The 15706-nt window shown below is 41.7% G+C and overlaps 1 protein-coding gene and 1 pseudogene across 1 annotated transcript, besides 3 other annotated features; one reads left to right on the top strand and one right to left on the bottom strand.

Annotated features, from left to right (window-relative positions):
* Positions 1 to 2315: 2315 nt before the first annotated feature.
* On the bottom strand, positions 2316 to 2678 carry SCYGR2 (small cysteine and glycine repeat containing 2). The gene has a single exon (NM_001395403.1). It carries the CDS (start codon positions 2676 to 2678, stop codon positions 2316 to 2318), a length of 363 nt encoding a protein of 120 aa, NP_001382332.1.
* Positions 3043 to 3212: an enhancer, noted in NCBI's record as "experimental_57064 CRE fragment used in MPRA reporter constructs". NCBI's record gives its function as "activates a minimal promoter by MPRAs in K562 erythroleukemia cells, with activity observed for the non-introgressed 2:228463160 variant allele {active_cell/tissue: K562}" and the evidence as "EXISTENCE:reporter gene assay evidence [ECO:0000049][PMID:34662402]".
* Positions 8314 to 8403: a silencer, noted in NCBI's record as "silent region_12401". NCBI's record gives its function as "represses an Ori minimal core promoter by ATAC-STARR-seq in GM12878 lymphoblastoid cells {active_cell/tissue: GM12878}" and the evidence as "EXISTENCE:reporter gene assay evidence [ECO:0000049][PMID:35858748]".
* On the top strand, positions 14056 to 14334 carry SCYGR9 (small cysteine and glycine repeat containing 9 (pseudogene); annotated as a pseudogene).
* Positions 14167 to 14668: an enhancer, noted in NCBI's record as "H3K4me1 hESC enhancer chr2:228451619-228452120 (GRCh37/hg19 assembly coordinates)". NCBI's record gives its function as "activates a minimal SCP1, AML or CMV promoter by ChIP-STARR-seq in primed H9 embryonic stem cells {active_cell/tissue: H9 hESC(primed)}" and the evidence as "EXISTENCE:reporter gene assay evidence [ECO:0000049][PMID:30033119]".

The following is a 15706-nucleotide window of genomic DNA, read 5'->3' as shown; positions in this document are numbered from 1 at the left end:
AAGATCAGGGTCTACCAGGACATTGGAGCACAGAGAACATGTTCCCCCAGTCGCTAAGAAAGTCAAATCTATATTACGAGTACTTCCACAATGCTTAAACCTTTCTGGTTCTCTGTAGAAATCTTTTTGAGCTCTTCTAATGTTGCGGGCACAATTCTAGGTATTTTACATGTATCATTTGATTTAATTCTTGAAATAACTTTGCAAAGCATATACTGTTAAATTGGAGAGTTGGAAAACAGGCCCAGGCAGGCTGACCTCAGAGCCAGCCCTCTTAACCACTGTGCAACATTGCACTCATCTTCACCGTTCAATGTCAAGACCAGGGGTCAACAAACTGATGCCCACTTTTGGCCTGCCACCTGCTTTTGTACACAATATTTTCTTGGAACACAGCCACTTACACATTTAATTGTTGTCAGTGGCTGTTTTAAAGGTAGAATGGCTGAGTTGACAAGTTACAACAAATCATGTGGCCTGCAAGGCTGAAAATATTTACATCTGATACTTCACAGAAAAAATTGCCAAAGCGTAGTCTAGATCATGAAGAACATTTAGTCAAAAAAAGATTTTTGAGTGCAAGCAAACTGCCTTGGGCCTGGTACACTGTGGTGAGCTCCAATCTAATACGAGTTTGGCGAGTTTGTTCTTTCTCCCACCTTGAATGAGCATGACACTTCTCTAAGCTTTTGTAGCCAACCTCCCTCCTAAGTGGAATCTGTTTCATTGCCATAACCAGGGTTAGAATGACTTTCCTATTTATTTAGAGACAGGGTCTCACTCTGTTGCTCAAGCTGACTGCTGGTGATCATGGCTCACTATAGCCTCGACTTCCTGGGCTCAAGTAATTCTCCTGCCTCAGCCTCCCAAGTAGCTAGGACTACAGGTGTGCACCACTATGCTTGGCTAATTTTTGATTATTTGTAAAGATAGGGTCTCACTATATTGCCCAGGCTGGTCTCAAACTCCTGGACTCAGGTGATTCTCCCACCTCAGCCTCCCAAAGTGCTGGGATTACAGGCATGAGCCACCACACCCAGCCCCAACTTTCTTATTTATTTACAAGTCTTTACGACTACTGATGCCTAGTAGTGGTCTCGGAGGCCATGCCGAGAACACCAGCAAGGACATGAGCTACATGGAACTGCCCCACCCCCCACAGTGCTCAACCTCCTTGTCCTGGCAAACACTTTCCAGTCTTTTCAGAAACCACTGAGCACAGCAAGGTAGAGGCTACATCCATTCCCCCCTCCTTTGGGGCTCATTTTTCATTTCCTACATAATTTGTTTTAGATAGTGTCTCACTCTGTCACCCAGGCTGGAGTGCAGTGATGTTGTCACAGTTCATTGCAGCCTCAGCCTCCTGAGATCAAGCGATCCTCCTGCCTCAGCCTCCGAAGTAGCTGATACTATAGGAGCACTTCACCATACCCAGCTAACATTTTGGGTTTTTTTTCAGAGATGAGGTCTCCTATATTGCCCAGGCTGGTCTCGAACAACGGGTCTCAAGGGATCCACCCATCTTGGGCTCCCAAAGTGCTGGGACTACAGACATGAGCCACTACACCCAGCCTCCTAGATAAATTTCAAGGAGAAACAGAGACCTATCACCACCATCAATTCACACCACCCTCATCCCACCCTAGAAAATCCTTGGGAGAGTCCGAGTACACAGACCCCACAGGTAAGACATCATGTCAGAGCAGCAGCACAGGGAGCTCTGTGCCTCTCTGATCAACAGCTACAAGTTCAGCGGCTGGGCCCATGGCCAGCTTCAGGAGGTTGCAGGAGTGTGAGGGCCAGAACTGGACTCACAGCACAGGGATGGATAAGCCGACGAAGGAACCGATTAAAAAAAAAATGACTAATGAAGAGATTTTTGTGACATACCAAGTCATTTTACTGGGAAATTTTAAAGAGCAAATATAGACAAAAGCAATGGAAAAGATTGCACACAGACAGTGAACAGAAAAATGGTGAAATCCAGGACTGACTATTTAGGAAAGATTGAACATTACAAAATAATAAAGTACTAAGTTTCCTGGTTGGCTCTGACTTTATCTGGTTATCACCGGCTGCTCGGTTGCCCGTTTGTTTCACATTGTGTGGTCTGGGCAAGTTGGTGCCGTGTGTGGGCAAAGGAAGATCCCAGAAGGACAAAGCACAAGGCACATGAGGCAGAAGCCAAGGGGATCTGCTGGTGACAGATAGGTTAGAAAAAGGATTAGACAGAATGGGGTTAAGCAGAGCCTTGCCAGCAGGAGACAGTGAGGGTTCCCACAGCTCCTGGGCAGGGGTGGAACCAGGCCGGCCACCTAGCAGCAGCATTGCTTCTGGCAGCAGCATTTCTGCTGGCAACAGCCCTTCCCACAGCCACAGCCACATGAGTGGCAGGTGCGGCGGCAGCAACAGATCACGGGAGTGCTGCAGCAGCCTCCACAGCAGCCACGGCAGCAGGGGCAGCAGCTGGAGCAGCAGCCCACCCGGTAGCACCTGCAGGTGGTGCAGCTGCCACAGCTACCACCACAGCCACCACCGCAGCCACCACCGCAGCCACCACCACAGCCACCACCACAGCCACCACCGCAGCCACCACCACAGCCACCACCACAGCCACCACCGCAGCCACCACAGCGGCCACCGCAGCCACCACAACCTCCACAACCACAGCAACCCATGGTGTCAGTAGAGAGGACTCAGGTGAAGTGAGGAGGACTCAGGAGAGGTGAGGAGGTCTGATGCCTCCTTCTGCTGGGGGAGGCCCTTATGTACCAACTCTGGGGAGAGGAGAGGGAAGACACATGACCACTTCCTTGTTATTGTTTATTTCAGTTTCCACAGGGAAACCTCCTGTTTATGTCCCTATTAGGCACCTTTCATCTCATTAAGTCATTTATCTTCAGTTCAGCTAAATTAACCTCTGTTCCATCCAGTGGGAATATTCAGCCAAGGACCTATCCCTATTTTCAAATACAGCCAGTCTTGAATAGATGAGCCAGAGAGATATATCTGTCATTGATGGTTTCCTTGCTTACTAATATTTTCCCAGGAGAATCATATATTTCCCTTGACATCTCTCCAAAAAAAATTCCTAGGGTTTACTTGAGTAGAAGGAGAACACAGAAGCTAACATAAAGGAAGTTCCCAATCTTTGCTATTTTCTATCACTGGTCTGGAAGTCACAATTCAAAGAGGCCACCTGCATCTAGGTTAGTGGCTATGTCTGATTATTCTACCTGGGAGAGCCCTCAGCACACACAGTGAGCTCATTTAGGGAATTATCAAGATCAGCCTCATTAGAGAAGCCCACAGCCCTCAGATCCGGCTTCAGTACCTTCTGGTCCTCGGGTTTCTTCCTCCTAATGAATTCTTCTCGCATGAGTCACACTTTGTAGGTCCCACCTTAATGACAGAGCTGGCAGCAAGGCAACCCCAAAGTAAGGGTCCAGAGGCCCCAGGAAGCTCCACTGTCCCCAGAGATGCCCTCATCTGGCCTTGCAATGCTCCTCAGAACTCAGGACGAAGGGGACTAATCAATGTCAGGCTTCCCAAAACACATTTGGTAGAAGATTCGTTCCACAGGACATTAAAAGGCAACACACAAAAAAGGTTTGACTATTTTTGAGAAATAATGAATTTAAATAAAGCCAGACAGGCTTTTTGACTCTGTCCTCAGTGGCTTGCCTTTGTCACGTGCTCTGTGACTCTCTAAGTGGGAGGGGGAGTACCGCACTCCGCACCCCTCACCCCGCCCCGAACTTCCTTTCAGTCTGGAAAGCAAGGCTTTCATTTACTTCTCAGGTGTGGAGTCCCAGGACGTCCTACGTTCAGATTTTAACGGTGGATTTGGAAAAGCACATTCACACATTGACCAAAGAGAAGAGAAAGGTTGGAGCAGTGGTTCTCAAACTTATTACTCTCGGGATCCCTATGCTCCTAAAAAGTATTGAGAACTCCAAATTGTCCTTGTTATATGGCTTAAATCTATAGATACTTATTGCATTCTAAATTAACACTGAGACTTTTAAAAAGTTTATTAATTCATTTTTAAATAATATAAGCCCATTACATGATCACATACATAATACATTTTGGAAAAAAAACTCCATTTTCCAAAATAAAAAAGAATTAATGAGTACAGTGGCCATTATTTTATATTTTTGCCAATCTCTTTAATGTCTGTCTTGATCAAAGACAGCTGGATTCTCATTCTCCTTCTTTGATGAATCTATTATCCTACAGTGTTTTGGCTGGAGTAAAAATCCAGCCTGACACAGATATGCAGTTGGAAAAAGGAGGAGTATCTTAATAAGCTCAGGGCCTCCAGAGGTCCTTAGATCACACTTTGAAGACTGCCAGAGCAGAGACTTGGAAAGATTTTGGTCCTTGAGGAAACAAACTACTTTAAAATAGTCCCTATTATTAACTATGACCTCATGAAGTATAAATCCTTATACATGGTCAGTATATGGTATAATGATGTTAACACAATTTTATGAAATTTTTGTGCTTCTGTATTTTAAAAGCTATCTTGTGCTGCTCTATATTCTAATGTTCAACATTTCTTTCCTACTCAACAATTCAGACTCACTAGTATGGCATTAAAATGCCCTCAACAATCCAGCTTCAGGCCAGGTGCGGTGGCTCATGCCTGTAATCCTAACACTTTGGGAGGCCGAGGCAGGTGGATCACTTAAAGACAGGAGTTTGAGACCAGCCTGGCCAACATGGTGAAACCCCGTCTCTACCAAAAATACAAAAATTAGCCCTGCGTGGTGGTGCAGTCCTGTAGTCCCAGCTAGTCGAGAGGCTAAGGCAGGAGAATCGCTTGAGCCTGGGAGGCAGAGGTTGCAGTGAGCCAAGATCACGCCATTGTGCTCCAGCCTGGGTGACAGAGCGAGACTCCATCTCAAATAATAATAATAATAATAATAAATAATCTAGCTTCAATTTATCTTTGCAGCTTAATCTCCTGTCTGAGGCTCTAGAGTAGCCCAAGGCTACATGAGAAGGGCAAGTTTGTAATTAACATCATGACTACTAGTAGAAGTTAATATCTACAGTGCAGGTACCACGTGTTCAACACTGTACCACACTCTTAGAAATAAGACAGAGACAAGAACAATGAAGGGGGCAAGATTCACCAAAGGACAGGAACGAAACCAACAAAGCAAAGGACACTTGGGAGTAAGGGAGCAAATGCAGGGCAGGCACCAGGTTGCTCCTCTGACACAGACCCTTTGCTTTCACACAAGAAACATGCCAGCCGCATCACCATAACTTGAACTTGCCTCCTCCCCCACCTCCCTTGTGGCTGTGCCTTAATTTAAAGGGCCCTCTTCCAGCAGGGACGTCCCAAGCATTCCTCAAAGACACAGTTCAAATGTCATCAATCCCCAATCACCCCAATTGAAACTTAGCTGTCTCTTTTTCTCCCCCTTCTGTTTTGGTCATATCTCCACGAAATTATAACAAAAGAAGGGAGAGCAACAGTGGGAAAATGAGGAGGCAACGGTGTGGAGGCAGGAGAATAAAGAGGGGGCTGGGATCTGTCATCACCACCACAGATGGCAGCAGAGGGAGCTGCCTGCCCTCCTCCAGGTTCTCCCCTTCTCCCATCAGCTGGCCTGCCCTCTTCCTACAATGACTACTTCCTATCTTCTCCCCTTTCTTCAGATGTTGGATGCCTTCTCCGACCCCTTCACTCCAAGAAGGCACTTCCTACCATACTGTGCAAAAAAGTGCTGGAATCCAGTCAGTCCTCCTCTTCTTCGGTTAACCATGGAGGAGGAGGTGGGTGTGGATCCCACTCCCACCATCCAAGACTGGCCCCTGCACCTGTGCACTTGAAACCACCTCCATCTGGCTTTCTAAATCTCCTTTCTCAGGCATCTCTTCCTCTCATTCCCTCACTCCACGGGTATTTGCTGAGCATCTGTGAAGTGCCACCCATCCTAGACACTACAAACACAGCAATCAACACTCCCCCAACCTTCCAGATTCTTCCATCCACATCAAAACCTTGTAAGTGGCATTTCTCCTCCCTTCAAGCAAAAAAAGCACACTGTTGAGTCCAGTGCCCCTCCAGCTACTGCCTTTGTCTCTCCTCCCCTTGACAGCCACACTTGCAGAGAGCATTGTCCAAAAAAAGCCAAGAAAACAACAACAAAAAAAAACCTCCCTCTAGATGATAGGCAGGGGAACAGTGACACTAAAAAATAGGTGTTGGGTGAGGAAGCAGGAATGTGGGATGAGGAGTCAGCAAAGTACGCATAGGATTATATACAGCGGCCAGGTGCAGTGGCTCACGCCTGTAATCCCAACACTTTGGGAGGCCAAGGCGGGCAGATCACTTGAGGCCAGGAGTTCGAGGCCAGCCTGGCCAACATGGCGAAACTCTGTCTCTACCAAAAATACAAAAATTAGCCAGGCATGGTGGCACACACCTGTAGTCCCAGCTACTTGGGAAGATGAGGCAGGAGAATGGCTTGAACTTGGAAGGTGGAGGTTGCAGTAAGCCAAGATCACACCACTGCACTCCAACCTGGGCAACAGAGCACAACTCCGTCTCAAAGATTATACACAAAAAGCCAGGCACAGTGGAGCATGTCTGTAGTCCAAGCTATTTGAAAGGCTGAGGCTGGAGAATCCCTTTAGCCCAGGAATTTTAGGTCAGTCTGGGCAAAATAGCAAGACTGCTTCTCTTAGAAAGAATAAATAAAAAAACTTTTAAAAGATTATACATAATAAAATGTGTTGACATGTCTTTTAAAATATAAAAAATATGAAGAAACAAAATATTACCTATAATTCTATTTAAGTATAATTAGTGATATTTTTCTACTATGAAAGTTATACATGCTTATTGCAGAAAATTGAAAAATACACAGAAATATGAAGAAAAAAATTATCCACAATCACACCTTATGGAAATAACCATTCTTCACTTTTTATTTTTCTTCCAGAATTTTATGTCCACCCATCTGCACTACTTAAAAACAAAATTGGGGATTATGGTACATATATTGAGTTATTGTTTTTTCACTTACTATAAAAAATAAGAATCTTCACCAAAAATCCTCCAAAACTTCCCCACTTCTCCCTAGACAACCCCTGCATGTGAAATGCTCTAACTCAAATCCCCCGTGACCTCCACTGCGGCGGAGTCCACAATATGCTCTTTGACAGTGTTGCAAGATGACTTCTCAGCACTATGCAGTTGACAAATCTTTCTTAACACATTCTCATCTGTTGACTTTTATGAGACAAAATTCCTTGTTTTTCTCCTACTACTTCTGTTATTCTTCTCCAGTCCACTTTGCAGAAAATGACTCTGGGAGGTTTGAAACTTGGTAAGTAAGTCTTCCTTGTTATGTCTTTGGGAGAATTTCACTTTCTTTAGATCTCATTGACTTCTTTGTTGAATACTTTAGGCTTTATTACATGGATCTACCTTTTTAAAATTCTGATTTTTCAGAAGACCTCCAGTCTCAAATATTTTCAATTATATCTTCCTACATGTAGGGTCACTTTTTCTTTCTGTGGGGACAGGAGGCAGGTCATCACCAGGTCTTCCGATAGTGATCTGAATAATAAGGCAGCTGTAATTCTCCATCCACTTGGATCTGGACCAGAGCTGCCCAGTTGGACTTTCTGGAAAGATGGAAATGTTCTATTCTGAGCTGACCAATATGGTAGCCACTTACCACATGTGTCTATTGAGTACGTAAATGTAGCTAATGAAGCTGAAGAACAAAATTGTTTACTTTATTTAATTTTGATTAATTTGAACTGAATTAGCCTACATTGTAAGTGGCTGCCATATTGGACGGAACAATTCCAGACTGTAGTTCTTTGAAAGGAGGAACTATACATTATCCTTACTGGTATCAATTTATCAAAAGTTTAATAATACTGTTATACATTTCAGACACTGTGTAGCACTTGGGAGAGTAAGATGAATGAGAGATGAAACTGGCCCTAAAGAAGCATGTAAGGTCCATCAAATAAGACAAACACAAAAGCAAACCATAAGAAAATATGAAAAGCCCTGAAACAGAAAGCCAAGTGGAAAACATACAGGGGATCAATTATTCAAATTCCCAATGCCTAGCACGGTTCCTAATATGTAATACAGTCAGTTCTGGTATAACACTTGTTTTTGAAAATGTAAATGTGTTCCAAGGAGGCTGATGTATTGAGAAACAACTGGAACATAAGGCAAATTTTGCATTTGCTTATATGTGATTTTGTCCTAGAGAAATACCAAGTAGATACAGAAAACTGCACCCAGCTAAAATGCACGCATGCATACTTCAAACAACTACCTACTAGCTACCTGCTCACCAATGTGCTGTGAATGAAACCCTTCTGCACATAACAGTTACAACTTTCTGTTTCATTTCAGATACCACTCCCTTCCTATCACTTGACAATACCACAAGCTGCAACCCTTCTTATGCCCACTTCCATAAGCAAACTTCAGGTAAAATGCCACATTTATTACATGATATATGTATATCCTGTAATACACACACACACACATATATACACACATGTTATGTATAGAACTGTGCACCCTTTTTACTAAGTTCTCCATCTTTTCTTTAATGAGTCACTGATGAAGTTTTTTGAGTGCTGTTCCCAAAGCTCAGTGTTAGCCATGAGTCCTATGCTTTTATTGCACAATTTTGTACAGTCTCATGATTTTTAGGAGCACATATGTTGTGTTATAGAAGAACTGACTGTAGGTGCAGAAAACAAATCCTAGCAATGAGTGCAGTTAGTACCCAGATCTTGGATTCTAAATATCACTATCCAATAAAAGGAACCAGAATCCTTGGAGAACAGGCTGATTCCAGATCTGGGACAGGAAAAGGATGAAATGGGACCTTGAACATCTTGTGCCAGAATTTAAGTTAGTACTTCAAAAATTATGGAGATATTTTTTAAAACCACAGACCAGCTTGAAGGTGCTACCAATGGCAAAATTTGGGACAACTTGAGCATCAGAATAATGACAGTAACAGATTTATAACTCAATGAATAGAATAGGGTTCGATCAGCCAATATTGATATAAATGATTAAACAGGAGAATGCATATCTTTGACCTAGCCAGACGTTGCTTAATTGCTCTCAGAATTGGTTATAGCAATTTACACTCCCACCCAACAAAGTATGAGAATTCCAATTGTTTGACATTCTCACCAATATTTGGTATTGTCAGACTTGAACATTTTGATAATCAGGTGGGTATAAAATTAAAACCATGGTGTGGTTTTAATTTGCACTTTTCTGATTACCAGTGAGGTTGAGCATCTTTCTGTGTTGAATTTTGTCTTCTATAACTCCTCAATTCATATTCTTCATTCACTTTTCTAATAATTTGTTTTCTTTTTAAAATTAATTGTTCTTTAGGCTAAAGTTTATTTTAATCTTTATTTTCAGCATTTTTTTGGTTTGTTTTTTGTTTTTGTTTTTGTTTGAGACGGAGTTTTGCTCTTGTTGGCCAGGTTGGAGTGCAATGGCACGATCTTGGCTCACTGAAACCTCTGCCTCCCGGGTTCAAGTGATTCTCCTGCCTCAGATGCCCGAGTAGCTGGGATTACAGGTATGTGCCACCACACCCGGCTAATTTTTTGTATTTTTAGTAGAAACGGGGTTTCAGCATGTTAGTCAGGCTAGTCTCGAACTCCTGACCTCAGGTGATCTGCCCACCTGACCTCAGGTGATCTGCCCACCTCAGCCTCCCAAAGTGCTGGGATTACAGGCATGAGCCACTGCACCCAGCCAATTTTCAGCATGTTTTTATGTGAAAATGTTTTCTTCTCTTTCATTTGAAGTATTTTCTATTTAATTCATATTTTTCTTTATTGTTTGGATTTCTCTATTCTAAGAAATAATTTATCCTTGATGAACATAGATGCAGAAATGCTCAACAAAATACTGCAAACCAAATCCCACAGCACATCAAAAAGCTTATCCACCATGATCAAGTAGGCTTTATCCCTGGGATAAAATGTTGGTTCAACACATGCAAATCAATAAATGGGATTCATCACATAAACAAAACTAAAGACAAAAACCACTTGATTATCCCAATAGATGCAGAAAAGGCTATTAATAAAATTCAACATCCTTTCACATTAAAAACTCTCAATAAACTAGGTATTGAAGAAACATATCTCAAAATAATAAGAGTCATCTAAGACAAACCCACAGCCAATATTATACTGAATGGGCAAAAGCTGGAAGTATTCCCCTTCAAAACTGGCAAAAGACAAGGATGCCCTCTCTCACCATTCCTATTCAACATAGTATTGCAAGTTCTGGACAGAGCAATCAGGCAAGAGAAATAAATAAAGGCAACCCAGCACTTTGGGAGGCCTAGGTGGGCAGAGCACCTGAGGTCAGGAGTTCAAGACCAGCCTGATCAACATGGAGAAACCCCATCTCTATTAAAAATACAAAATTAGCCAGGCATGGTGGTGAATGCCTGTAATCCCAGCTACTTGGGAGGTTGAGACAGGAGAATCGCTTGAACCTGGGAGGTGGAGGTTGCAGTGAGCCGAGATCGTGCCATTGCACTCCAGCCTGGGCAACAGGAGTGAAACTACATCTCAAAAAATAATAATAAAAAGATAAATAAAGGGCATCAAAATAGAAAGAGAGGAAGTCAAACTATCCCTGTTTGCAGATAACATAATCCTACATCTAGAAAACCCCACAGTCTCTGCCCCAAAGCTCCTTAAGCTGATAAACAATTTCAGCAAAGCTTTAGGATACAAAAATCAATGAACAAAAATCAGCAGCATTCCTATACACCAACAACAGTCAAGCTGAGAGCCAAGTCAGGAATGCAATCCCATTCACAATTGCAACAAAAAGAATAAAATACTTAGGAATACAGTTAACCAGGGAGGTGAAAGAGTTCTACAATGAGAATTACAAAGCACTCCTCAAAGAAATCAGAGATGACACAAACAAATGGAAAAACATCTTATGCTCATAGATAGGAAGAATCAAAATCATTAAAATGGCCATACTGCCCAAAGCAATTTACAGATTCAATTCTTTCCTATCAAACTACCAATGACATTCTTTACAGAACTAGAAAAAATTATTTTAAAATTCACATAGAACCAAAAAAGTGTCTGAACAGCCAAAGTAATCCTAAGCGAAAAGAAAGAAGCTGGAGGCAACATGTTACCTAACTTCAAACTATACTACAAGGCTACAGTAACCAAAACAGAATGGTACTGGCACTAAAACAGACACATAGACCAATGAAACCGAATAGAGAGCCCAGAAATAATGCTGCTCACCTACAACCATCTGATCTTTGACAAAGCTGACAAAAACAAGCAACAGAGAAAGGACTCCCTATTCAATAAATGGTGCTGGGATAACTGGCTAGCCATATGCAGAAGATTGAAACTGGACCCCTACCTTACACCATATACAAAAATCAACAAAATCAACTCAAGATGGATTAAAGACTTAAATGTGAAACCCAAAACTATAAAAACCCTAGAAGAAAATCTAGGCAGTACCTTTCAGGACATCTGCATGGGCAAAGATTTCATGCCGAAGATGCCAAAAGCAATTGTGACAAAAGCAAAAATTGACAAATGGGATCTAATTAAACTAAAGAGGTTCCATGCAACAAAAGAAACTATCAACAGAGTAAATAGAAAACCTACAGAATGAGAGAAATTATTTGCAAACTATGCATCTAACAAAGGTCAAATATCCAGCATCTGTAAGGAACTTGAACAAATGTACAAGCAAAAAACAACCTCATTAAAAAGTGGGCAAAGGAAATGAATGGACACGTTTCAAAAGAAGTCATATATGCAGCCAACAAGCATATGAAGAAAAGCTCAGTATCACTAATCATTAGAGAAATGCAAATCGAAATTACAATGAGATACTGTCTCACAAGTCAGAATGGCTATTATCAAAAAGTCAAAATGTAACAGATGCTGGTGAGGATGCAGAGGAAAGGAAATGCTTATATACTGTTGGTTGGAGTGTAAATTAGTTCAACCATTGTGGAAAGTAGTCTGGTGATTCCTCAAAGAGCTAAAAACAAAACTACCATTTGACCCAGCAATCCCATTACTGGGTATATACCCAAAGGAATATAAATCATTCTACCATAAAGATACTTACACACATGTTCATTGCAGCACTATTCACTATAGCAAAGACATGGAATCAACCTAAATGCCCATCAGTGGTAGACTGGATAATGAAATTTATCCATTTAGAAATTTCTTTATCCAGTCTACTATTATGGAATATTATGCAGCCATAAAAAAGAACAAGATCATGCAGGGGCATGGATGGAGCTGGAGGTGATTATCCTTAGCAAGCTAATGCAGGAACAGAAAACCAAATACCGCTTTTTCTCACTTATAAGGGGGAGCTAAATTATGAGAACATATGGATATGAATAGAAGAACAGCAGACACTGGAGTCTACTTGAGGGTGGAAGCTGGGAGGAGGAAGGGGATCAGAAAAAATAACTATTGAGTACTAAGTTTAGCACCCAGGTAATGAAATAATCTGTAAACCAAACCCTCATGACATGAGTTTACCTATAACAAACCTGCACATGTACTCCTGAACCTAAAAGTTAAAAAAAAGAAAAATAATTTATTGTGTCTTCTTAAAATATCAAGCTTTGCTTTTCATTTTTAGATCTCAAAAATCATCTGGAACTTTCTTTTATGTATGGTGTGAAGAAGGATGCTAGTGTTATTTTTATCCATACGGATAACCTGTTATTTCAGTACTAATATTGAATAGTCAATATTTTCTTCTGATTTGTAACTGTTCTGCCATATATCAAATTCCAAAATCTATGTGATTCCATTTCTGGGCTCTCTATTCCTCTCCATTAGTCTATCTCTCTCAGCAACAAAATTTCTCACTGTTTTAATGACCATGGCCTTAGAAGGAGTCCCAACATCTGATAGGGCAAACTGTCCTTCTCATTCCTCTTAAAACATGTATTTGATATTATTGACCTTTTGTTTTGTCAAATGTATTTTGGGGGCAGCTGTCAAGTTAAATCAAAACAAGAAAAGTTTGTACATCTCTTAGTGTTTTTAATAGAATTGCAATGAATTTATTAATTTATTTGGAAAGGATTGACATCTTTTAGATGTCAGTTGAGATGTTCCATCCACAAACCTCTATTTCTTTCTTCTTTTATGTCCCTCAGTAGAATTTAAAAATTTTTTCCATCAAGATCCTGCATGTCATTGGAGTCATATATCATACTTTAATTTTATTTTTGTTGCTATTTCAAATGGATTCTCTAAATCCTTGTTTTGAGTAAACCCATTCAAAAAGTAATTTTTTAACTACATTTTCTATTTGATATGAAATCTCTTTATGTTGAATATTGATTTTTGAGACTCCCTTTTCCTCCAGGACTTCCTATTACCTTTAATATATTAATGTGAATTTCCCAAATGGAAACAATATGCAACATTTCCTGGGCTTCTTTGATGACAAAACTCATTTTAATAAAGACTCTATATACCTAATGTGTTGGGGTTTTTATAAAGGGTGATTAAGGATAATACACATAAAATGTATATACTTAGAGTAAAAGACAGATACATTTTGAAGAGGACTCTTTCCTCTGGGCAGCTATTACTGATTTGCGAAAGACGAGGAACGGCTGGATCTCTTTGGCTTAGACCATTGACTACTATCAAAATAATTTTACCCTCAGGTAGACAGATTGAAACAATGCAGTGTTTTCTGAAAAAAATGTCAGTTCTGATTCCGTTTTTGAAATAGAAGTGAATTTATCTAAAATTGAAATAAAAAATCAAGTTGTGTACACCCCTGAGGAAGTAATAAACAGGAAACAAAAGTTTGCCACGGAAAGTGGCCAAAACAACAAGGAAGTGACTATAGTCATGTGCCAAGCCCCAGCAGCAGTATTTAAGGGTCCCTTGCAGAGGCAAACATCAGACCTCGTCACCTCTCACATCCTCCCTCCTCACTTCACCTGAGTCCTCTCTACTGACACCATGGGTTGCTGTGGTTGTGGAAGTTGTGGCTGCAGTGGTGGCTGAGGTGGTGGCTGCGGTGGTGGCTGCGGTGGTGGCTGTGGCAGCTGCACCACCTGCAGGTGCTACCGGGTGGGCTGCTGCTCCAGCTGCTGCCCCTGCTGCCGCGGCTGCTGTGGAGGCTGCTGCAGCACTCCCGTGATCTGCTGCTGCCGCCGTACCTGCAGCTCGTGTGGCTGCGGCTGTGGGAAGGGCTGTTGCCAACAGAAATCCTGCTGCCAAAAGCAATGCTGCTGCTAGGCAGGGCACCTGACTCTGGAAGAGTTTGCTGCATCTTGCTTGCCCATTGCAAGCCTTCCCCCAACCTCGCCCTGGTTCTCTTTCCATCACTGGGAGTCACACATGTGACTGGGAGTCACACAAGGGCTGTAGATTTGATACCCTCCTCTCTGTCACATCACAAATCTATAATTTCAAAATATTGAGTGATATTCATGTGAACAATGAAAACTATGAAAGCAAGGGACAGCCCAGCTCCTGCAAACAATTCACGGTTGAAGAAATGGAAAATGAAATCATAGTTACTAACTTTTATGTTTTTCTGAAATTCCTTAACACAAACTTCAGTGCCTGCCTTCTTTTCACTGTGCTGTAAACTACATGCTATTTCTACTCTATTCTCATATCCAGCAGTTCTGTACTGCTAAAAACTAAATGCACAGAATAATGTACCATATATTGATGGCTAACCATCTCTTTTACTTATTGTCTTGCTATAAAAGGACCTTTTGTGCTGTATAAATTCACGCAAGTTAAATAAAGGAACCCTGTTGGGAAGAATTTCCTCTACTGTGAGATTCATTTCTTTTATGATCAAACTTGTGCTAAAATGCATTATGGGCTCAATATCCAGGGCAGAAATACTTCGCATGTGGAGCAGGTCTCAGGGAAGCCTTATTTACCCAATTTCAATTTCCCTGTCTCACTGTTTGTGACAGTCATTTCTTTGGAGTCAATGTTAATGTAATTTACTCCCAAATTGCCTACATCTCACTTCCACTCATTGGGTCAGGTCAAAGGAGCATGAACCCAATTTGGGTTGCTGACATGCCAAAAGAATAGCAGGTGCTTTACCCCAAATCAGCCTAACCCATCCCTGAAAATGATAACCTTAAAACAAATGTAATACATTTTCAAATCTGCCTTAAATCTTTCCTTTTCTAATCCCAATTAGAAGTATATGACCTTAGGGCTGGGCACAATGGCTCACGCCTATAATCCCAAAACTTTGGGAGGCCGAGGTGGGTGAATCACCTGAAGTCAGGAGTTTGAGACCAGCCCGGCCAACATGGTGAAATCACATCTCTACTAAAAATAGAAAAATTAGGTGGGCATGGTGGCAGGTGCCTGTAATCCCAGCTACTCAGGAGGATTGCTTGAACCTAGGAGCTGGAGGTTGCAGTAAGCCAAGATCGCACCACTGCCCTCCAGCCTGGGTGACAGAGCAAAATTCCGACTCAAAAAAAATAAAAATAAAAAAAAGGAAGTATATGACCTTGGATACAAAATACTTATCACAGAGAAGGATTTTCAGAAGAGGCCACAACCAGGTCAGGCCAGCAGATATCTGCCTCATGCAGAATTGGCTCTGTGCTGGGATGGGTTGAGACGT

This window comes from Homo sapiens, chromosome 2 (assembly GCF_000001405.40).
Source record: "Homo sapiens chromosome 2, GRCh38.p14 Primary Assembly".
Taxonomy (NCBI): Eukaryota; Metazoa; Chordata; class Mammalia; order Primates; family Hominidae; genus Homo; species Homo sapiens.
The sequence above is the reverse complement of the archived record's forward strand: the minus strand, read 5'-3'. Positions and strand labels throughout refer to the sequence as shown.